Raw genomic sequence first — 25,207 nt, 5'->3', positions numbered from 1 at the left:
GCAAACAGCCACCTTCTCACTGTGTCCTCACATGGTGGAGAGGGTGGGCTCTGGTTCTCTTTCTCTTCTTACAAAGACATGAATCCCATCATGGGCTCTCCACCCTTGTGATCTCATCTAAACTTAATCATCTCCCAAAGGTCCCACCTCCAAGTACCATCACATTGGGGGTGAGGGCTCAACATATGAATTTTAGAGAGACACAAACATTCGGTCTATAACAAGGGCTAATATTTGAGAACAAAGCACTGATGGAAACAGACCTGAATGGGAGGCTGATTGGGCTTCAAGCACCCAGGACAAGAGGATGCCTGAGGATCCTCTTGGTGGTGAACAAGGTTATGAATCCTGCTTCTGTCACTTTCTAGAGTTGTACAACCTGGACAGGTTACCAACTCTGCTATACCTCAACTACCTCTTCTAACATGGAGACTCATTTATTCACTTGCCAGATATTTATTGAGCAGGTACTGTGTACCAGAAACTGTTCTCAGTGCTGGGGATTATAAAAAGGTGATTAAGACAGACTAAGTCCCTGCCTTTATGAAGCAAACATCCCCATGAGATGTACCAGTGCCCTGTGGGGGTCTCGTGTAATCTACGTGGCATGTGCATAGTAAGTGCTCTAGAATTGCTAGCTACTATTATCATCTATTTCACCATTTTTCCTGGGGCTGGCCCTGTTAAGATGCTACGTGAATAGAACAAATGCATAGAAAGCCGGGGTATTAACCCAGAGGTCCATTCATATATGGCATCTGTTTGTATTTGCTTTGTGGATAGAACTTCCAGGGTCACCCCCGCACTGCTCATCTCACTGGGTAGCCAATATCTGTGCTATTCAACCATTCTCTGGGCTCTCTTCTCCAATGAGTCCAGAAGGGCATCGTTTATTTAGGAAATGACATGTTCTGAGTTATTAATACATTCCAAATATTAAAATTTCAGTCGAAGCACTGGGAAAATCATGGCAGGATCATAATTTAGGGAGGCCAGGTGGCTAATGAATGCTTGGTGCCCAGGAATATCTTGATTCCTCTGCCCCTCTCTCTCAATTAACAAAAGTGCTGATGATCTCGGGGCTGTTTCTGGCCAGCTGGGATAAATCAACCCTCTGGCAGCTGCCCAAATGATGTATTTTAAGGGCACAGGCCATGTGGCTCACGATTGCAAAGCAATTGGGGTCACTGTGTTTGCATATGGATTAACTCACTGTGCAGGGATCCTACCCGCTTACTGTGCCCGCTGTGGGTTGACACTCAATAACTATTCAACAATGATAAAGAGGAGCCAGACCTAATGACCCTTCAGAATGCTCCCCATCTTCATTTCTCTCCATTCCTATTTTTATTACTTTCAGCACAGAGAATTCAGTCAGCTTTCCTATTTTCACAGTCCTAATTCTTCTTAGAAGTTTTCCACATTTGACAGAAAAAGGTATCTGGGTGACTATGGTTGGAAAAAAACATACTGATTGGTTGAAAATTATCGGCCTGGCCCATTCTCCTTGGTGATTCCAAGGCAAGTCACAAAAGTTAGAGTCGTTTTGAATAAACTATTAATTGGATGTGCTGTTCTCTGGGGAAATCCAGGGTAAGTCCCATTGATGGGCTTAGGTGGTAATTGCTTTGTTGTGAACAGTGTCTAGAAGTTCCCAAATAGTCTGTCTCCATTCCCCTGAGCAATCATCTGTGGCACCAAGGAGGTAACTGACTTAGTCCCTATTCAGCCATTCAATAAACATCTACCAACAATCTACTGCATTCAACACACCATGTTAAACATGGGTAAGTTCCTACGATGTAGAAGACAGTCCCCAGCAAGCCAGGAGCTTGCTGTCTTACAAAGGGGATCAGGATCAGGAATTCACAAAATAAACACAACACGGGTCATACAGTTTAGGCAACAACAGTTTCATGATCATTGTGATGTGTGATCACAGGTCCTGGATTTTCTGGGCTCATTCTAATACTTCATTTTCTCTGCCATTATCCCCATAAATCATTGAAATATTCCAAAAATTCCAATAGTCAAAAATCCAAACTACATTTCTCAGACTACCTCTACTATTTGAAAGCAAGACAAAAATCCTCTGTCAAAGCAGAAGTTCTGGTTTTTACCTAAAATGATGGCCACTGGTCACCTAAGTACTCTTACCATAGGTGACTGGCCCATTCATGATTCTGCAGTGGCAATTTACAAGGAACATGAGCCTCTTCAGCAAGGTCTTCTGTACAATGACTTGGCACATGTTTTCAATGGTCCTTGCCCTGCTTTCTTTTCTTTTCCTTTTTTTTGTTTTGTTTTGTTTTGTTTTGTTTTGTTTTGTTTTGAAATGGAGTTTCGCTCTTGTCACCCAGGCTGGAGTGCAGTGGCATGATCTCAGCTCACTGCAACCTCCGCCTCCCGGGTTCAAGCGATTCTCCTGCCTCAGCCCCCAGAGTAGCTGGGATTACAGGCACCCACAATCACACCCAGCTAATTTTTGTATTTTTAGTAGAGACAGGGTTTCGCCATGTTGGCCATGGCTGGTCTCAAACTCCTGACCTCAAGTGATCCACCCACCTCGGCCTCCCAAAGTGCTGAGATTACAGGCGTGAGCCACCATGCCCAGCCCGCTTTTCTTTTTCTGTATTAATTTACTATCCATCTGCCCAACGAACAACAGTAAATAAGACACAGACCTGAACTCCCAGAAGCTTACATGATGGTCTGGTGGGGACAACAGGCAATTAAACAGGCCAAGAGGAAAGCAGGGAAGGGACCAGAGCTTCAGATGTGCTTCAAAGGCATTTGGACTTGACTCTGATGGAACTAGAAGCCACAGAAGGGTCTTGAGCAGAGGTGCGAGTGGATGTGAGTTGCACTTCAGAAAAGATGATGTCGCTACAGGGTGAAGAGATGAAAAGGAGCAAGATTGAAGAGAGTGAGGAGGTTCTTGTGTCATCCCAGAGACAACTGCCTCATAAAGCTCCCCTGAAAGGGGTTTGAGTTCTTGAGAGCGGAAGGGTGAGATGGAGCCCACAAGCCAAGATACAGTCGCCGTGAGGGGTGCAGGGGCAGAGCATAGCTCCAATTATTTTTACATAGTCTTATATCACTATGCTCTGTGCAGGTCCTGCACACTCTGGTATTTGAGTGTAGACTAATATACTTTCAAAAGGCTCAAAATTTGCTAAACTAAAGGGAAGTAACCCTGTTTTGATGATTCCAAAAGGCAGATAATGAATGAATACCTGGTATTTAGCTTTGGAATATGACATTATTTTTTCTGGAGTGTATCTGTCATCAGTGCAATTTTTTTTATTTTGCCAATGTAAAAATGTTCCCTGCAGTACCTCCAAATAGGCTAGATGACAGGAAGTAGAAAAGGAAAAGCAAATAGAGCCTTTGAGCCAGTTCATTGGCACAAGGATGTAGGGTCTGTAATAATGCACAAAAAGTTAATTGCCGGACCAGGCGTGGTGGCTCAGGCCTCTAATCCCAGCACTTTGGGAGGCCAAGGCAGGCAGATCACGAGGTCAGGAGTTCGAGACCAGCCTGACCAACATGGTGAAACCCTGTCTCTACTAAAAATACAAAAATTAGCCAGGCATTGTGGTGTGCACCTGTAACCCCAGCTACTCTGGAGGCTGAGACAGGAGAATCACTTGAACCTGGGAGGCAGAGGTTGCAGTGAGCTGAGATCGCGCCACTGCACTCCAGCCTGGGAGACAGAGCGAGACTCTGTCTCAAAAAAAAAAGAAGTTAATTGCCTATGACAGCCAGACATCAATGCCCTCTCACCTCCCCTCCACCTAAGTTGTAAACATCAATATCAACATCTGAAAATTCTAGAGATGCTTCAGCTGCTTGACTGGAGCAATTATGTTAGTGACACAGTAGAATTCCCTTAAAGGCTCTCCTTTATCTTAAACCACTTGTCCCTAAGCACCCCCCTTCTCCTAATCTAAACGCCAGAGTGTTCAGAAAGCAGTAGTGATGGAAAGCTGTATGTAAACGTAACTACAATAACAGTGCCATGAATTGGAGCTCTCCATTGCTCCCTAAACCTTCTGAAAGAGAGAAGCTCTGTATGGATTCCCAGGAGACAAGGGGCTGTTTCTGGTTCTCCACCATCCATTCCAGGACTTTGTTCCAGGCCCCTCTCTCTGCAAAATCTCTTCTTCTGAGATTCACGCATCCATTCATACCACCTTCTTCTCTCTCTCATCTCTGGCTAGGGAGTTCCACAGAGAACATTCTGCCACTCTCTGTCACAACTTCTGCAACTCCCTCACAGGTTTTTTGTTTTTTTCCCTGTCGGGTCCCTATCATGCCCACAGCAACTGCTGTGGTATAAATGTTTGTGTCCTCCCTACCAAATTCATATGTTGAAACCTAATCCCCAATGTGGTGGTACTGGGACGAGGGACCTTTGGAAGATGGTGAGTCATACGGGCTCCTAAAATTAGTGTCTTTATAAAGAGGACTGAGGGAGCTTGTTTGCTCCTTCCTCTGTGTGAGATGCAGTGAAAAAGTTCCATCCTGAACCAGAGTCTGGAGCCCTCATTAGAGAAAGTCTGCTGGTGCCTTGGTCTTGCACTTCCAAGCCTCCAGAACTGTGACCAGTAAATTTCTATTGCTTATATGTTATCCCATTTAAGGTATTTTGTTATAGCAGCCTGAATGGATGAAAACAGCAACTTCAAAATGCAGGCTAATTTCAACACTTTTCCTTCAATATCCTCAACTCCTAGATGTGTCATCAGCTCCAATCCTTTGTTAGTAAGTCCACACTTTAGACCACATTTTTACGCAAAATTGGTCCACCCCTAAAATCTCAAAGTCTGAGTTCTCCTTCTCTGATTACAACCTTCTTAGTTTCTCCCTCTCCTGTCCCATCCAGACACCATCATCATGCCAGTCCTTCCCTATTCCTGGTTCATGAACCCTTCCTCACTTCGTGGACTTTCCTTCCCAACCCAGATTCTAAAATTACCTAGCCCCTGACTCTCTCTCCTTCTCAAGACAGACTTCAATATCAAATACTCTACCGGGCACGGTGCCTCACGCTTGTAATCTCAGCACTTTGGGAGGCCAAGGCTGGAGAATCACTTGAGGCCAGGAGTTGGAGACCAGCCTGGCCAACATGAAGAAACCCCGTCTCTACTAAAAATACAAAAATTAGCCAGACATGGTGGCATGCACCTGTAGTCCCAGCTACTCGGGAGGCTGAGGCAGGAGAATCGTTTGAACCTGGGAGGCGGAAGTTGCAGTGAGCCAAGATCACGCCACTGCACTCCAGCCTGACAGAGCGAGACACGTCTCAAAAAAAAAAAAAAAAAATCCAATACCCCCAACATCTTCCAGGTTCCTCTAACCTGCTCTGTTCGTTCAGTGCTGATGGGGAGTCTTGGCTCCTTCATGTTCTCCAGCCCCAAATGGTCGCTGCTCTTATAAATTCTTTCTTGTATTCCTCATACAACTGATATCAACTTCTCCCACACTCCCTAAGCCCTGCTGGCTCCTCCAGCCTCTTTGTCTCAGCAGATGGTCTTCTCGGCTTATTTACTGGCACTATCAAGTACAACATCTGCACTTGAATTTTCACAGCTCTTCAACTTAACATGTCCAAAACTCATCCGGTGCTTTCTACATCTACTCAGTTGTTTGTGCTTGATACATGAGGTCATCCTGACTTCCTCCCTCACTCACCTCACACTCAGCCAGTCTCCAGAGCGTGTTGATTCTACCTCCAGCATGGATCTGAAATCCTAATGGACTCCTTCGGATTAATATTTCTTCCCATCTATATCACTTACAATTATTCTAGTTCAGACCAACATCATATCTTGCCTGGACCACTGCAAGAGCTTCCCAAAAAGTCTGCCTCTGGGCCAGGTTCATTGGCTCATGCCTGTAATCCTAGCACTTTGAAAGGCCAAGGGAGGAGGATCGATTGAGGCCAGCAGTTCAAGACTAGTCTGGGCAACGTCACGAGACACTGCCTTTACAAAATAAATACATGTGTATATTAATTAATCAGGCATGGTGCATGCCTGTAGTTGTAGCTACTCAGGAAGCTGAGGCAGGAGGAAAACTTGAGCTCAGGAGTTCAAGGTTACAGTGAGTCTCTACACTCCAGCCTGGGCAACAGAGCCAGACCCTGGCTTTAAAAAATTAAAATAAGGTCAGGCGCAGTGGCTCACTCCTGTAATCCCAGCATTTTGGGAGGCAAAGGCGGGCAGATTACCTGATGTTAGGAGTTTGAGACCAGCATGGCCAACATGGTGAAACCCTGTCTCTACTAAAAATACAAAAATTAGCTGGGTGTGGTGGCGGGCGCCTGTAATCCCAGCTACTCGGGAGGCTGAGGCAGGATAATTGCTTGAACCCGAGAGGCAGAGGTTACAGTGAGCCGAGATCATGCCACTGTACTCCAGCCTAGGCAATAGAGAGAGACTCTGTCTCAAAAAAATAAAAATTAAAAATTTAAAAAAAAAAAAACTACCCCTTCTACTTTGCCCACTCCAGTTTGATTATTCTGCCCCACAGTGGCCAAAATGATATTTTTAAAATGCAAACCAGATCACACCATTCCACTGCTTTAAACCCCTCAATGACTTCCTGATACTGAGAGGAAATTTTTCAAAATTCTTAACATAGCCTAGAAGACTTTATTAGCCAAGGTAACTGTCTCTCTCTGTAGTGTCATCTCTGGCCATTCTTTCTTTTATTCTTTAAGATCTAGCTTTCCCTTTTTCCAATGCCAAACTCTACCATTTCATGGCCTTCTAACATGCTGTCCCTCCACATTTCCCACACCCTTTCACCCATCTCCACCTGGAAAATTCCCCTTCTCTCGGTTTTCAACCTAAATGACACTTCTTCAGGTGCTTTCCCCATTCCCCACTCAGGGTAAATTAGATGTTATATGATCTTAGTGTAGCCTATGTTTTTCCCTCATACTGTGTGTTACAAATGCAATGACATCATATTTTGTGATTACCTGCTTAATGACCATGTTTTCCACTATTCTATAAGCTCATCAAGAGCAGGGGCCATGTCTCATGTGCTCATTACTGTGTACCCAGACCTGGCACAGTGCCTGAGAGCAGAGTTGGGTTATAACTTCCAGGGAATGGGCCTACAGGTGGGCCCAGCAGCAGAGTGGGTAGAAGAAAGCAAGCCTGTGAAAGGGGGCACCCCTTTGATTTCATTCTTCACGAGTGTCTAAGTTCATTTTGTGCTGCTAAAACAGAATACCACAGGCCGGTTAATTTATAAACCAAGCTTATTTGGCTTATGGTTCTGGAGGCTGGGAAGTCCAAGAGTAAGGTGCTGTACCTGGTGAGGGCCTTTGTGGCAGAAGGTGGAAGAATGAGAGAACACATGCCCATGTGAGAAAGGGAAAGGGAGCCAAACTCATCCTTTTATCAGGAACCCACTCTCATGATAACTACCCCACTCCTGCAACAGTGGCATTGATCCTTTCACAAAGGCAGAACCCTCATGACCTAATCATCTCTTAAAGGTCCACCTCTCAACACTTGCATTGGGAATTCAGTTTCCAGCACATGAATTTTGAGAAACACATTCAAACCACAGCAATGAGCCTCCCAGTCTTGCTCCCTTACTGCTTTTTCTACTGCCTTTTCATTATCTATAACCATCATCATGTGAACACACTACCTTAAAATTGTTGAAAATATGCCACTTTAGGAGAATGTGCTCAGAGGAGGCAACTGATCTCCATACCCACTCCTCACCCCTCACGCCCTGGTCAGCTACTTTCTGTATATTATGTGTTAAAAATGTATGAATGAGGCAAGGTCTTGCATTTCCCCTGATTCCTCACCCTCTCTTCAATGTCTGTTTGGCCCCAAAGTATCCACTCACCACTCACTCCCTCCAGTCCTTCTCTCCTTCTCAAGGTTCATCAAGGGAAGGTGGTACCTTCCTTGATCCTCTAACTCCCCTCATCTAAAACTTCCTTACATTCATCCTTCTTCCCCTCAAGTTGAAAGTTGTTAAAAGAATTGTCTCCATTTGTAGCATTCACTTCCTCCCCACCTACTCACTGTTATTTAGTGCTTTATTCACTCAATTCCTGAATAGCTAATGCGTGTTCACAATATAGAATTCAAAACATTTCAGAAGGTTCACAGTTAAGCATCTTCTTTCTACTGGTCTCCCCAAGCTTCACATTTTCCTCAGAGGCAACCCCCACTACCAGCATCTTATCTTTCCAGAAAGCATATACTTACATTTATTCTTGTTTGTATTTCTTTATACAAATGGAAGCATTTCTACGCATTTTCTACCTTTTGCTTTTTTCACTTGAAGTATCTTAGAGAGTGTTCTATCTACATCACTACATCCAAAGCTGCCTCATTCTTTTAAAGGGCTGCCAAACCCCCACGGTGAGAATGGATCATAAATTGTCTACTCTGGACATTGAGTATATTACTAGTGCTTTGTTCTAACAAACATGCTGCAGTGAGCATCGTTGCACCTGCAGGATTTTTCCACCCTTGTGAGTGCATCTGTAGGATAAATCCATAGAAATGAAACTGCATTTTGCATTTTGGAATTAAATTGTTCTCCATAGAAGTTGTACCAATTCACCCACTACAGTAGTCCATAAATTCACTGCCCCTCATATTTTTCAACAGATTGTTTTAACAAGCGTTTTTATGTTTTTCCAGTCTCATAGGTGAACCAGTCTACTTTTAATTTGCATTTCCTTGTATGAATGCAGTTGTGGCCAGGCGTGGTGGCTCATGCCTGTAATCCCAGCATTTTGGAAGGTCAAGGTGGGCGGATCACTTGATGTCAGGAGTTCGAGACCAGCCTGGCGAACGTGGTGAAACCCTGCCTCTATTAAAAATAGAAAAATTAGTCAGGCATGGTGGCTGGCGCCTGTAATACCAGCCACTTGGGAGGCTGAGGCAGGAGAACCACTTGAACCTGGGAGGTGGAGGTTGCAGTGAGCCAAAATCGCACCACTGCACTCCAGCCTGGGCGATAGAGCAAGACTCTGTCTCAAAAAAAAAAAAAAAAAAAAAAAAAAAAAGGCAAAATAATGCTGTTGTTCATTCTTCTTACATTTAAGAGAAATTTCTACTTCTTGCTTCACCAACTCTCTGTTTCCATTCTTTGCCATTTTTTCTACTACATTTTTGGTCTTTTGGTTTTCCTAGGAAAACACTATATAAGAAAACTAGTTCCTTGTCTGTGGTATAAGTTGCAAATATTTTTAATCACTCTGTAACCCTTTGCAATGTGTCTTCTGTGCCCAGGGAAGCAAATGGAACTACTCTCTCGCTGGTTCCCATGGCCTCTTGGTTGTGCCCTTCCAAGGCCTTTCTCTGTGCTCATTTTTTTTCAGCATTTGACACTGCTGACCCACCCTTCTTGAATGTGCCTTTAAAATTACATGTACTACTTTATATTGTACCATCTCCCACCTCTCTGACAGTTACTTCTCTTATTCCTTCACCAAAATTCCTGTGAAGAATGCCCTTGTGAAAAGAGGTCTTTGAACTCTGCCTCAGCAGTGCCCCAGGGATGAGCCCTGGCTGGAGATCTTGCTGGAGTTTTTTCCAAGCACCTTAAGTCTAGTGTGATGTGCAGACAGCTGTTTCCATAGCTGATTCCAATGCAGGCTCAGGACATTTCCTTGGCTCTTTTACTTTTCATCCCCACATCAAGCTCAACATGTCTAAAACTGTTTCTTCCAATTTTTTCACTTCCCTAGGGTTCCTATCACTCTCCCAATCCTCCTAGGTCTGAAAACTCAGTTCCCACAGCCCAGGAATTGCCAAGTCCTATCGATTCTTCTGTGAAAGTGGTCTCCTCCACTTCTCCCCTCCTTCCCAGCCCCAGGTCATCATGCTTGTCACCTCATTCTTCATCACATGTCTTGGATGATTCTTCAACACTTTCTCCTTCTGCAGTCCTGCACATGCAATCTCCCGCTGCCCTTTGGGGAAGCCTCAATCCCTCTCATGCACTAGTGCTCCTCACTTACACCTCACCAGAGAGCTCTGCACAAAGCTAGAATCGAACGCAATTTAAGGAAGCCTGGATCCAAATGAAGTACCATGTATCCTGGAACTGGAAGATGGCATTTCCAAAAGTGAAAATTTTATATACATACATACATACACACACACACACACACACACACACACATTTGTGTTATTCCTTTGGATACATCAGTACTCTGTGTGTGTGTGTGTGTGTGTGTGTGTGCTTTGCCATTGTTGCTTTTGTTTGCACTTATTTAATTTATTCAACCAACCAGCATGCACTTTTATTCTGGTCTCCCCAACTCCTTCCCTCCAGCCCTGCTCTGCTTAGCTCTCACTTTTGCTGCAGTTGTACCCAGACCCTAGAAAAACTGGTGGCAAGGAGCCATCCCTAAGACCCTGCTCTGTTTTCCAGTCCCAGGGGCCATCCAGCAATGCCAGGCCAGTGAGAAGGTGGCCTAACCCTTACACTCTTAGGCCAGTGTCCCCTGTCCACCTGCACCACTCTGTTGTCTTCTCCTTCACCTTCCATGAGCCATCTTCCCCCCACCCCCACCCCAACACACACCTACAAAGACCCTGCAGGAAATGGCCTCCAGCCAGTTGTCACAGCAGAGCCCGCTGACATTCTAAGACATCCTCCGGTGCATGGCTAATTGCTCTGGCACTTGAGTATTTCTTTGGGTCCCAGGATTCAGCATCCCGCTCTGAGGGATGCAACCACCCCCACACATTCAGAGTCACCGGGATGCTGTTTGGGGGGCCAGTAGACAGGATAGAGTGAGGAGGAAAGGGGGCATCCGGGAGTGCAGGACGAGCTTCCCGCGGCGGGAGAGAGAAGGGAGGAGAGAGGTGAGGCGCTGGAAGGGGTGGGGACCGCTGGGCTGGCCCAGGCGGGACCGTGCACCGTGTGTGCGCGCGGCGTTGAAATGCCCTGCACGTCGGGGCAGCGGGACAGATCCCAGGGTGCCCAGGGAGTCTCCAAGTGCCTCACTCCTCCCGCCGCAAACATGACAGAGAACTCCGACAAAGTTCCCATTGCCCTGGTGGGACCTGATGACGTGGAATTCTGCAGCCCCCCGGTGAGTACCGCCAGGGATTCCACACGCAGGGCCTGGGTTGTGTGAGTATCAGGTTCCACAGTTCGGACTCAGGGGTGCGTGCCACCGAATGGGTGTGTTGGCGGGGGGATAAATTTGGGTCCCAAATGTGTGGGTGGGATGTCGCCCCACGCGTATGAGTGTGCAGGGGTCACGGCATCCACAGGCGGGTGCGGAGGGACGTCCCGTGGCCGGTAGAGGGTGCAGGTCCTGGGGCGAAGGCCCTGTGCTGCGGGGTTTGCTCATCCCACTTCCACGCCCGACTGCAAAGGACCCTCGGGAGGGAGCGCGGCGAAAGGGGCACCCGTAGGAGCCCGGGCGAGCTGTTTCCCGCCCGACTCCCCACTCCCTGGGGGCTACCGCGTGGGGCCCGGGTGCGCTGGGGGCCGCAGGTGCTGGCGGCACAAACGCGACGGTCCCTCTCCCGCCCCGGCCCGCAGGCGTACGCTACGCTGACGGTGAAGCCCTCCAGCCCCGCGCGGCTGCTCAAGGTGGGAGCCGTGGTCCTCATTTCGGGAGCTGTGCTGCTGCTCTTTGGGGCCATCGGGGCCTTCTACTTCTGGAAGGGGAGCGACAGTCACGTAAGTCCAGAGGGCGGCGCGCGGGGACCCCCGTGTCGCCCATGGTGCCCCTAGGGGGAGCCCGAGCGCGGGCCGGCGAGGGGCGCGCGGCTGCCGGCGGGCCCCTCGGGCCCAGCGTGAGCTCCCCTCTCCCATCCCACTCTGGCACGCGGCTTTCCGCCTTAGGTCAACGTTGTAGAAAAGCAAGTGAAGGTTTCACGGGAGAAGATTGAAGCGTAGAGTAGGGGAGAATGTAGTGGACGGTCCGAGAAAGGCCGTTCTCGGCTCATCTCCCACTAAGCAGTGGCGCGACCGTGGGGAAGGCACGTCACCTTTTGGCCTCAGTGTACTCGTCCTGAAGGGAAAAAATGGAACTGGACGATCTCTAAGGCCTGTCCCTGCTAAGAAAGGCTGTGGGTTTAAAATCCAGGACAAAGATAGTGGAGGAATATTCAGACCCATATTCAGACCCATTGGGAAGGAATTTTTGCCTTTCAGAAGGTTTTTTTGTGACCTAGCCATGAACATTCCCTTCTCTCTCTGGAAAACAAAAACAAAAAACAAACAAACAAACAAAACGTCTAACTTCCTTAAAGGTGGAAAATCTCTTTAACAATTAATTCTGGCCTAGTCATCACATGTGGTTTAATAGTAGGTGTTTTACTAACTGCTGTCCTACTTTCTTTGTATGCAACTATTTATTTTAAAGCTCCACGGCTCTCGAGGAGTATAAAGACTGTTTCTAAGTTGACTGGGCAGAGCTCCAGTGTGTTCTCTAAATACTCTGAAAGTGTTCACCTATGTAAAAGGGGGCATTTTATCTTGATGACCACTGCCAGGTCTGGTATAAGCTTATTTCAACTAATGGAAAAGAATTCCATCTCCAGGGCACACACAAAGGGCTCTTTCATAATCACTATCCTCAGAGGATTGGTGATTGCTGTTTTTTCCTCTCTCCTACCATGAAATGCAAAGCATGAACGAATTCCAGTACTTACAGAAAATGGTGCTGAAAGCAATTCAACCATTTTACACATCACGTCTTCTGCAGTCACTGCATAATTTGTATTTTTAACTCAAATGTCTAATGTAGATAAGCATGCCATTTAGCACCGAGTCTGTTTTAGAGACTATATCAAATTTACAAGCATCGATTTGTAAGATCAGAATTGCACTGTATTTTGTGGGTATTTGAAAAGTGCCTTAATGTATTTGTATTTTAAATATAGAAGCTGGGCCAGATGCTCATGTTTGAAACAGCAAATGTGAATAAGAGAATGATTTCAATATCTACATCTCCATTAATAGCAGGGTTTAGATTGTCATCTCTTTGGGAAATTCTGTGGTTTTAGAATGTAAATGCTATCTTTTAAATAACAAAGCCTCAATGGTATAGGTCAATGGGGGATAACAATAGCTATGCTTTTTTTTGGTAAAGATTCTGGACATGATATATTTTAAAATGAATACCATTTGTCATTTAATTATTCAAGGTAAACATCACTAACTGACAGGCTTCTAAAAAGAGAGATTAAACAATCATACTGAATAAGCACAGCTCCCTTTTTTCATATATTTTACTTTACTGCAAGATGGTTGGTTGTCTGGTTCAGGAGAGCAGTATTAAATGCTAAGAATTCAGAGGAATAGTGAATCACATTTTATTGTCAACAATCAAAATTATTGCTATATCCTATACAGACAGGAGAATGAAGAAAATCATGATAGTTTTTTTCTCCCTGATCCATATGACTTAAGTATGAAAAACAAATCACAAAATACTAAATAGAGTAATTTTTGCACCACCTAGGCATAGCACATGCACAGGTCTGCTTTGCCTGAATACAAATCTAAATAGCTCAGACAAAACGTAATCAAAAAAGGTAAGTCTTTGTCAAACAGAAAGACTTGTCAAACCAAATGGATTATCCACTCTTTGGGGATTATCTGTGCCTCGGCTCCTCTATATTGGTTTATAGAGGAGAACCAGCTGTAATTCACCTCCTATCCTTTTCATGTGGGTAAATCCCCTTAGGACAGGTTTACTGAAATTTAGCTGGAGGACTATGAAGCACTGGAGTAATAATAATCAGGGGACAACTGAACTGGGCTCCAATATTGAGGCCATTTTTCATCCACATTATTGTAAATGGAACAAGGCATTGAAATATGGGAAATTTCCACCAATATGAGATAACTGACAACCCCACCCTGTGAGATGAGGGAAGGAGATCATTGCTTGGGGCCTTTCCTCTCAGACTAATTTTTCTAGACATTTTCCCAAACATTATGTAATTAATCTTATAGAACATAGGCCTTATTAAAAACTCATTAGCAAATATCCTTGGCTGTAAAAGGCACCATATTGAGCAGAATTTTGGCAAATAATAAATTTCATCTTGTTTGGATAAAAATAGCCTTGGGTGTCCACAGCTCCACGGACTTAGAGCAGATAAGGTAATTGCTGCTCCAACAGCCCAGCCTCGTCCCCAGCTCAGAGTCTAGTATGTTAGAAACTGGACTGCCTCCTCCCCCCACATCCTCCCCTAGTAGCTTCAGGAGGGGGACAGCTTCACTGCTGTCCCCATGCAGATGGTGCAGTGCACATAAAAGGTGGGCTGCAGGCCAGGCGTGGTGGCTCACGTCTGTAATCCCAGCACTTTGGGAGGCCAAGGCAGGAGGATCACTTGAGGTCAGGAGTTCAAGACCAGCCTGGCCAGCATGGTGAAATCCCATCTCTACTAAAAATGCAAATAAAGGCCGGGCGCGGTGGCTCACGCCTGTAATCCCAGCACTTCGGGAGGCCGAGGCGGGCGGCTCACGAGGTCAGGAGATGGAGACCATCCTGGCTAACACAGTGAAACCCTGTCTCTACTAAAAATACAAAAAAATTAGCTGGGCCTGGTGGCGGGCACCTGCAGTCCCAGCTACCTGGGAGGCTGAGGCAGGAGAATGGTGTGAACCCAGGAGGCGGAGCTTGCAGTGAGTGGAGATTGTGCCACTGCACTCCAGCCTGGGCGACAGAGCAAGACTCCGTCTCAAAAAAAAAAAAAAATTAGCTGGGCGTGGTGGCGCATGCCTGTAGTCCCAGCTCCCTGGGAGGCTGAGGCAGGAGAATGGCTTGAACCTGGGAGGCGGAGGTTGCAGTGAGTCGAGATTGTGCCACTGCACCCCAGCTTGGGTGACAGAGCAAGACTCCATCTCAAAAAAAAAAAAAAAAAAAAGGTGGGCCGCAGCTGCACAACCAAGATGCCCTACGTCAAGCTTGTCCAATCTGTGGTCCTGCATGCGGCCCAGGGCGGTTTTGAATACAACCCAACACAAATTCGTAAACTTTCTTAAAACATTATGAGATTTTTTTTTTTTTTTAGATTTTTTTTAAAAATTCATCAGCTATCGTTAGTGTTAGTGTATTTTATGTGTGGTCCAAGACAATTCTTCTTCCATTGTGGCCCAGGGAAGCCAAAAGATTGGCTATCCCTGCACCTAGTTAGGGAGGCTTTCTGGGGAGAAGACAGCCAGGGGTAGTGGTGGAGGAATGTGAAATTCAAACCACAGGCCACTCTTCTAGTGTGACAACCTTATCTCCTTAAGAACTGCTAAGAATTTAGAAATGGTTATGTTCTTAAATGTTGCATTGCTTTACTAGTAAAAGCTTATGTGCAATGTTCTTAAAAAAAAACACAGAACCTCTTGTCATATGAGTGGAAGACACTCACATGGGTGTTTCCTGCCAGGCTCCTTCTGACAGTCATCACTGACCCATATGAACACTGGCTGCTCAGAGAGCACCGGACAGAACAGAGCCTTCTTTCCAAACTTCACCTGCAGGAGTCCCGTCTCAGCCAAAGAAAACAGGTTTCCCAAACCTGGCTGATCATAAGGGCCACCTGAGGGGAAAGGGGAAAAGAGACTGGTGGGCTGTGCTCTAGCTCCACTAAATCAGAACCCCCAGGAGTGGTTCTTGTGATCAGGGAAGCCTAGGAGACAGTAAATTGCAGACATCTAAGTTCTTCAGAAAGAGACAGGGAAGGAGGGGCAATGAGGGATGGTTGAGCTGAAAAAGGACACTGGTATTTTCTGTCCTGCTGAATGAATGCTGTTCCTAAAAGGGTGCTGGATAGCAAAGCCATTTCTGTATCTCTGCTGATAATAAAATAGTGCACTGTGGGTCTTGTAATAATGAGTTTTCTTCAAGAAATGGATCCAACAATAACAGATCCTTTTTCCAGTGTTTGTGCATGTAGCAGTCACTCTTCATAATGAGGAAGAAAAATCAGACTTGAATTGGATCTGAGCTATTTGCAGTTTTGACTGGCTGACCTGATATTAAGTAGCAACAGTTTTTCATCAGTTCTCATTCCTCCACTTTAAAGATTTATATATATGTGTATATATAATCTATAATTTATACATGATATGTAATATATCATATGTAAGATATATAGATATACCTATGCATCTAAATCCAAAAAAAAAAGAAACCCACCTCCTAGCTCTGCCACACAGAAAGGTCTACCAGGACAGCAGCACACTGAGCAGGAGCAGCGTCTGAGTTATTTTGAAACCAGTGCAGTAATCAGGTGTCTGAGCCCTTTAGGTCAGCTAATTAGTGGCAAACTTTAAAAAAGAAATGTTTTAAGTATTGAAATTTGTCTTTCTAACAAAATGTTACTCAGAAATGCAACACATAAGACAGAAAAAGCAGAGCCACTCTGGTTAGACTATGGATGGACAGGAGAGAACAGAGTGCCACAGTGCCATCCTCACCTCTAGGCCATGCCCGGGAGATCCCAACAGTTCTAAGGACATAGATGAAAGCCACCTATGAGGTCCAACTTCATTATACACTCGTGGCAACTCACAAGATCCAGAGATGAGTGGTGTGGCCACCTGTTTTCCTGATTACTGGACCGATGCTCTTCTGCAGTGCCAGGTCCCTTCCCCTCTTCCACACTCCCCACACATCTCATAACAAAATGCCCTACAGCACCATGGGCCTGCCCCATAGAATCGTTCAGGGAGTACTACCATTTTGAGCTGAAACAAACATGCACATTGGCCTTCCTCTCCACACATGCTGCTCTATATCAAGCATACCCTGGTCCTGTCTGCAGTCCTTTCCATATACCTAATACCATATACCATATACCTGAGACACTGCATGCCTAATCTTGACCAAAGGATGAAAACAACTTGTGAAACTGAGGTGCCACTGCAGACGTGTTCAGCTGGGAGCCCAATTAACCTTCTGCCTCCTCAATTTCCATTTATCCATCAATAGTGCTCAACCCAGATGCATAATAGAATTGAGCTTTAGAAAAAGAAAGACCTATGCCCAAGCGCCCTTCCCACAGCTTCTGATTTGATTTGTCCAGGGTGAAACCCAGGCATGGTACCCAGAGAGTCTACCCAGATGCTTCTAAAGTACAGCCAGCATTGCAAATTATGGAGCTATTGGAATAGGTGTCAGAGGCAACCAAAGTCTTTACTCTTAAGGTATTTTTAAGGAAATCATTGCATTAACTGATTGTTGTATGAATGAAGTCATCATATATAAATGTATTATTATTAAGGACTATCTCATGTATCTCTGAAACATATGGACACTACCTCATACACTGCCCTTCTAAAGATAAGCCCTGAATTGCTCAAAAAAGAAAGCATCACTAACTCTTATGCTCACTTTCAGATTTACAATGTCCATTACACCATGAGTATCAATGGGAAATTACAAGATGGGTCAATGGAAATAGACGCTGGGAACAACTTGGAGACCTTTAAAATGGGAAGTGGAGCTGAAGAAGCAATTGCAGTTAATGATTTCCAGAATGTAAGTATATTTCATGCATTTAGAGAATTTAACCAGGCAAGCCTGCGGGACTTTTCTAATTCAAGGAGGAGCAGCGTTTCTCACACACATCCAAATGGTAACTGTTCTTTATAGCAGTTGTAGTGCCACTAATCCACTACATGTAGCATATTCTCTCTGAGAAAGGACCAGACTTTGTCCTTCATATTTGCAAAAGAAAAAAACAACACTTCAGTTGTAAAATACCAAAAACAAAAAGAACCACCTTTACTGAATTCATGTACATAAGGATTTAGCTGTTTTGAAAAACATTTTTTACTTCTAGGAAATTAAAGGTATGTCCCTAGAAATCAAAATAAAACTTGATTTTTAAAACTGGAAGAAAAAAACCACAATACCATAGCATTGAAAAGAGCAGGTTCTTCTTGGAATTATATAAAAGTCTTGGCAGAAAGACTTGAAGGAGCTATTTCTTTTCAAGCGGATTTCTGTAACGTGATGAATAAAATGCTCAAAACAATCCAAGAATGTTGCAAGATTTGAAATTTAAATTTCTGAAGAAGAGGGAAATTTTAATGACCTAATAATCTCATCAACAACAGGTGGGATCTATTTGCATACTTTTCTCAATTCCAATTTCCTATTTAATCCAGAAAATGACCATGAGCAAATTCTCCTATTATAGCATATGTTTTCTGACCATAGCATGTTACCATAGCATATTAGAGATAAAACATTCACATCTCCTTTGAAAAGGAGACTGTTTTGTTTTGATTTTTTAACAAAAATTTCATTTACAGGCAATTTGAGACATTAAGCTGTGCAGCAATGTTTCGGTGTACATCTGCAAACCAAAGTGTCACTTCAGGCCGAATTTCCTGTTGGCCAACATAAATATTTTATGCTCTTTCATGTTTTACTATAAGGAAGAGGCATCACTATTTGTGTACTCCTGTTAAATCTGCAGATGGAGTAGGTGAAACTTCATAATGAAAAAAGCCTCTTGAAAATAATGTCTCTTCTGATAGTTTATTGGTCCACAAACACCTCATCGACCCATCTTCCTCTGATTGATGAGAAAAGCTAAAGATGCTTTTCATTTGAGTGAAAGCACTCCTCTTGTTGGTACCAAAATATACCTCATAAGTCCATTTGAATACCCAACAGATGCTAACATTAGAGCTATTGTGATGTCAGATATTATTTGATCATGACAAGGACTATGTTCAGAATGGTCTCTGCCCTGGGGACAGCCTCTGCTGCTCTGTATGTGCCCAGACGCACTTTGTTTAGTCATAGCTTTGCAGATGATTCTGCTCAATGCACAAGTATAATTTCTCTGCACTTATTAAAGGCTTTTACTGCAAGACCCAGGACAGGGTAAAATCATTTTTTCTTTGTACTACTCAATATAAGCTAATAAAATGTGACTCCCCAACACACATTATTCAATCCAGAAATTGAATGCCTGTGGTGTGCCACAATATTAAGATATGCAAAGGGAGCTACAAAGACGAATAAGAAACGATTCATCTTTCTTGAGATGTTCATGTATCAAAAATACTCTTTTAACATATTTTAATCCCAAACCTATATTTCTGTTTTATAATCCTTTGGTTCTTTTCTAATAATGGTATCGATTGTGTTTTGTTCTCATAGACCAACAGGGCCATAGATATTTTATAAACTGATCAATTCTCTTTGATAGCTTCCACATTTCTCTAAGTCAGAACTGGTGAGTAGAACATTTTTTTTGATGGATAGAACCTGTTATGGGTTTAAACAAGCCTGAACTTTTGAAAACACATGAATCAGCCACTATGGTACCTACACTATTACTTTCTCCTGTATTTTGAATCAACGGTCAAATTCAAGAAGCATTTATTGAGACATGCTGTGTGCAAGGGATGATGCTAAGCAGGCGGAATGCGAAAATGATGGACCCTTCCCTCAAGGACCCTTCAGTTCAGTTCAGGAGGCAGACGTACACACAGACATAGCTTCAGTTTAGCTTGGAAAACGTGTTCCAATGAGTTATGAACAGAGAGGGAACATCCTTCCTGAATAGGGGACTGGGGCAGGTCTTGCAGATGTAGTGATGACCAAATCAGGTCCTGAAGAATAATCAGGATTTCAACTGTCAGACAGGTAGGGGAAGGCTCTCCAGGCCCAGGGAAAAATAGTGAACATGAATGTGCAGTCTCGCTCCAGGGTTCTAATTCTAAGTAGCCCAGTTCAGCCCAACTTGGGGAAGGAAAAAAGATGGGGATGCAGGTGGGGCTAGATTATAAAAGGTTTTGAATTGTAAATGAACAGTCTCCCCGGTTCGTCCAGGACCCCACCAAGATTTTAGTAGAACCCCGTGGAAGAAAACAACCCCCGACGGAGGATAGCACTGAAAAAAGTGCTCCAGGCTCTCCACCCTGAGAGATAGAAAACCCAAGTTCATTCATACTTTATGAGTTACATTCTAGTTATACTCTCACAAGCACCAGTGCTGTTGCTTTAAGCCAACCCCCTTGGACTGAATGCCCCATTTATATAACAAAAAGCCTTAGAAATTGAAAGAATATCCCATCAAAAAGTGGGCGAAGGATATGAACAGACACTTCCCAAAAGAAGACATTTATGCAGCCAAAAAACACATGAAAAAATGCTCATCATCACTGGCCATCAGAGAAATGCAAATCAAAACCACAATGAGATACCATCTCACACCAGTTAGAATGGCAGTCATTAAAAAGTCAGGAAACAACAGGTGCTGGAGAGGATGTGGAGAAATAGGAACACTTTTACACTGTTGGTGGGACTGTAAACTAGTTCAACCATTGTGGAAGTCAGTGTGGCGATTACTCAGGGATCTAGAACTAGAAATACCATTTGACCCAGCCATCCCATTACTGGGTATATACCCAAAGGATTATAAATCATGCTGCTATAAAGACACATGCACACGTATGTTTATGGCAGCACTATTCACGATAGCAAAGACTTGGAACCAACCCAAATGTCCAACAATGATAGACTGGATTAAGAAAATGTGGCACATATACACCATGGAATACTATGCAGCCATAAAAAATGATGAGTTCATGTCCTTTGCAGGGACATGGATGAAGCTGGAAACCATCATTCTCAGCAAACTATCGCAAGGACAAAAAAGCAAACACCGCATGTTCTCACTCATAGGTGGGAATTGAACAATGAGAACACATGGATACAGGAAGGGGAACGTCACACACCAGGAACTGCTGTGGGGTGGGGGGAGGGATAGCATGAGGAGATATACCTAATGCTAAATGACGAGTTAATGGGTGCAGCTCACCAACATGGCACATGTATACATATGTAACAAACCTGCACATTGTGCACATGTACCCAAAAACTTAAAGTATAATAATAATAAAATTTTAAAAAAAAGAAATTGAAAGAATAAACTGATGGGCATATGGGGGTTCACTGTATAATCCTTTTAATTTTGTGAATATTTGAAATTTTTATTTAAAAAGCTAGAGAAAGTAAAGACAGCATAACCTGTCAATTCAGCCTCCAACTATAAGGTAAAGGAAAAATGAAATGAAACTAATTTATATTAAAAATATGGACTTCATATGTAAATGTTCAGCCAGATGCACTAGAAGATATAAAGTCAAACACTTATAGTAGTAGCTGAATGACTGTCAATGCCACAGCCCAAAATGCAGACAGACACAAGTGTGTGTTGGCAATTTAAATGCTATGTAATTTTCTCAAACAGTGAAGAAAAGTACTGTTTTCTCTCCATTTCACAGTAATTGCATTCCTAGGAAATTTGTTGTACATTAAGACTATGCCAAAAATTACTTTGTGTTTACATATAAAACAACACTGGGTTCTAGACACTGATATTTACAAACAGGTTTTTTTCCTCCAACCCGGGACAATTAGTTCTTCAGGACTGTCCCAGGCTCTGCAGGACCTGACATCCCTGGGCCCTGTGCAATAAAGGTCAGGAGTGCCCCCAATCTTTGTGACAAGAAACTTCTCCAAGGATTTCTAAAGTGCCCTCTTGGGGACACGAACTCCTACCATCCTTGGGAACCTCTGGTTTAAGCCATAGAAATAGATGAGATACCTTAGAAAGAAAAAAATGTGCAGCCAAGGTAAGATTACATCACTGTTTTGAAAAAAGAATGTTAGATTCTTGGACTCTCCACTCATCACCCTTGCTAGCAAATTTCTTCATTACCACCAGCTTCTAAAGCCTGTTTGTTTGCAAAAACAGGAGGTTTGCTTGGCTTTCTTGTGCTTCTTTTAGTTCCCTCTGTTTAATCTCTTAATATATCTGGCTGCTTGATGTGGAGTTTTTGCTAGACACGGTAGTTAATATGTGTGAATTCTTTCCCACACTTCCTACCCCATGGGGGTTTCAGTTCTCACTGCGGTGTGTCGACTGTCAGAACCAACTTAACACTAGATTCCCATTCAGTGCTGCGAATCATTCAGTAGAATCAGCTTTCCCCTTTGGGGATATGGTGACGGAGATGTGTGCATTCCCTCCACACATCTCACATTCAGGGGATGTGTTTGAAGTTAAGAGAAAATGTCACATAAGAAGGCATCATCTCCCTCCCTGCCTTCTGTTTTTCAAACTATGAGTCCTAAATTTACATGCCAAATAAGAGCAGCAGCCCTACAGGAGGTAGCATAAGAGAAAGCAGTTATTCTCCACGTGTATTCCTCAGGCTGCCAGTGGAGCATCACTTGGCTTGTTAGAAATGCAGATTTTAGGCCCCACCCCAGACCTACTGAATGGGAAACTGGGGGTGGGGCACAACACTGTTTAATTTAACAAGTCCTCCAAGTGAATTTTTTTTTTTTTTTGAGATGGAGTCTCGCTCTGTCGCCAGGCTGCAGTGCAGTGGTGCAATCTTGGCTCACTGCAACCTCTGCCTCCTGGGTTTCTCCTGCCTCAGCCTCCCGAGTAGCTGGGACTACAGGTGCACGCCACCACGCCCAACTAATTTTTGTATTTTTAGTAGAGATGGGGTTTCACCATGTTGGCCAGGATGGTCTCCATCTCTTGACCTCGTGATCCTCCTGCCTCGGCCTCCCAAAGTGCTGGGATTACAGGCGTGAGCCACCGCCCTGGCCCAGGTGATTTTTTAATTTGCCTTTTTAAAATTGTTACATAATATTTTATATATTTATGAGATATATGTGATATTTTGTTACATGAATAGGATGTGTAATGATAATGTTAGGGTATTTGGTTTTCATTTCTATGTGTTGGGAACATTTCAAGTCCTCTCTTCTAGCTGCTTTGAAACATACAATACATTGTTGCTAACTATAGTCACCCCACTCTGCTACTGAACATTAGAACTTATTTCTTCTGTCTAACTGCATGTTTTTACCACCCACTAACCAACCTGTCTTCATTCCCCCAGCTCCACCCATATATCCTTCTCAGCCTCTGGTATCTATCATTACTTTCTGCTTCCATGAGATCAACTTTTTTAGCTCCCACATAGGAGAGAGAACATATGACATTTGTCTTTCTGTGCCTGGCTTATTTCATTTAACATAATGACCTCTGGTTCCATCCATGTTACTGGAAATGACATGATTTCATTCTTTTCTATGGCCAAATAGTATTCCATTGTGGATATATATATATATACCAGTGATCCTTCTCCCTTCCAAGTAGCTGGGACTACAGGCACACACCACCACACCTAGCTAATTTTTAAAATTTTTTTGTAGAAATGGGGTCTCACCATGTTGTGCAGGCTGGTTGCGAACTCCTGGGCTCAAGCAGTCCTTCTGCCTCAGCCTCCCAAAGTGTTGGGATTACAGGCATGAGACACTATGCTTGGCCCTTTTTTATTCTTTTTTATTTATTTTTGTCTGACTGGGTTATTTCAAAAGACTTCTCTTCAAGTTCTGAGATGCCTGAAATAGTCTATTGTTGAATCATTTTTTTTTATTTGAGACGGAGTCTGGCTCTGTCACCCAGGCTGAAGTGCGGTGGTGCCATTTCAACTCACTGCAACATCCACCTCCTGAGTTCAAGCGATTCTCCTGCCTCAGCCTCGAGTAACTGGGATAACAGGCGTGCACCACCATGGCCAGCTATTTTTTATTTTTTTGTATTTTTAGTAGAGATGGGGTTTATAGTTGGCCAGGCTGGTCTCGAACTCCTGACCTCAGGCGATCCACTCACCTTGGCCTCCCAAAGTGCTGGGATTACAGGTGTGAGCCACTGTGCCTGGCTTCTATTGTTGAATCTTTTAAGTGTATATTGTATTTCATTCAATGAATTCTTCAGTTCTATAATTTCTATTTCGTTCTTTTTCATAATATACATCTCCTTATTAAATTTCTCATTCATATCCTAAATTGTCTTTCTGATTTCTTTGTCATGTTTTTCAGTATTCTCTTGTATCTCACGGAGCTTCTTTAATATCAATATTTAATTTTTTTTCTGGGATTTCATAAATTTGTTTTTGATTGTGATCTGTTGCTGGAGAATTATTGTATTCCTCTGGGAGTGTCATGTTTTATTGCTTTTTCATGCTTCCTGTGTCCTTGTGTTGATATCTGTGCATCTGATTTAATAGTTGCTTATTACAGTTTTTTAAATTTGCTTTCATAGGTGTGGACTTTTGGTGTTGGTTAGGTAGGGCACTTCAGCTTTCATTCTGGGTGCATGCAGTAGTATAGTCTCTGTATGTTTTTTTTTTTTTTAGCTGTAAACAGCGTCGGTGGTGTCTGTGATTTTTCTTGGTAGCTTAAGGTGTGGTTGTTAATGAAGACTGTTCTGAAGTTTTGCTGGGGACCCAGGGGATTTTTGATACAAGGGAAGGTTTGTGAACCACTGATAAAAAGAAACTTGGGTCCAAAGGTTATTGCCATCACTTTAAAAGCTTTGTTACCTTGAACACCTTTCTCTTTCATATGGTAGTCTTCAACCCTGGCATCAACCCTTTAAATTATAAACACCTGGGGAGCTTTTAAGGCTCCCAATACCTGGGCCCCAAAGCAAACCAATCAAATGGGAATCTCTGGGAAGGGACCCAGGCGTCTGTGTTCTTAAACCCTCTACAGTGAATTCAGGTGCAGTTAAGAGCCAAGCCTCAGCAGTGAGCCTCGGAGCTCCTCTTCTGTAAAGTGGGGATAATGCCCCTGTCTCTCTGAGTGAGCAGTAGTGCTGGGAGAAATAGGTGAAATGAGTTACATATGTATACATGATTAATTAAGCCACAAGACAAATAATAAAGAGCTTGAGGAAGAATGAGCCTTTTCTTCTGTGTTTTGCAGTCCTTTACTCACCAGCTTCTGTAGGGCTCCTGGCTCTGTGACTACATAAGGTAGAGCTATCCATTAATCCCCTCCAGCATGACTTACATTTAATTTTCTTCTTCATTGTAAAGGGCTGAATCTTGAGCCAGGATCCCTAGATTTTAAGTGTTTTCTACCCCCATTCTTTATCACTGGCCCTGGTACCATTTCTATATCATTCCAACACTTGCCTCAACTCAACAGAGGACTGATAAGGTTCAGATTTGTGCTAGTATCTCCATTATTATACCATAAAAATTGTAGGCCTTTATTTTAGATTCACTAGTCCTGAAACTAACAGCAGCAGGAGGAGAGTAAACATTCTTGGGACAGAGCATCCTGTTACCCCTCATGTCCTCTGTGGGTAGAATCGGGGCTGTGCTTTCAGCCAAGACT

The 25,207-nt window shown here is 43.7% G+C and overlaps 1 protein-coding gene across 7 annotated transcripts in view, besides 1 other annotated feature; it reads left to right on the top strand.

Annotated features, from left to right (window-relative positions):
* The first annotated feature begins 10,907 nt into the window (after window positions 1–10,907).
* CNMD (chondromodulin) overlaps window positions 10,908–25,207 on the top strand; it is a 36,557-nt gene continuing 22,257 nt past the window's right edge. For all 7 annotated transcript variants that reach the window (XM_047430070.1, XM_011534900.3, XM_011534899.3 and 4 more), the window contains exons 1-3: window positions 10,908–11,098; window positions 11,557–11,697; window positions 17,369–17,509. In XM_047430070.1, coding sequence (XP_047286026.1) covers window positions 10,946–11,098; window positions 11,557–11,697; window positions 17,369–17,509 — 435 coding nt within the window. In that variant the 5' untranslated portion in view covers window positions 10,908–10,945. The remainder of the gene's footprint in view (window positions 11,099–11,556; window positions 11,698–17,368; window positions 17,510–25,207) is intronic.
* Window positions 12,837–13,338: an enhancer, noted in NCBI's record as "NANOG hESC enhancer chr13:53311525-53312026 (GRCh37/hg19 assembly coordinates)". NCBI's record gives its function as "activates a minimal SCP1, AML or CMV promoter by ChIP-STARR-seq in primed H9 embryonic stem cells {active_cell/tissue: H9 hESC(primed)}" and the evidence as "EXISTENCE:reporter gene assay evidence [ECO:0000049][PMID:30033119]".

This window comes from Homo sapiens, chromosome 13, assembly GCF_000001405.40.
Source record: "Homo sapiens chromosome 13, GRCh38.p14 Primary Assembly".
Taxonomy (NCBI): domain Eukaryota; kingdom Metazoa; phylum Chordata; class Mammalia; order Primates; family Hominidae; genus Homo; species Homo sapiens.
The sequence above is the reverse complement of the archived record's forward strand: the minus strand, read 5'-3'. Positions and strand labels throughout refer to the sequence as shown.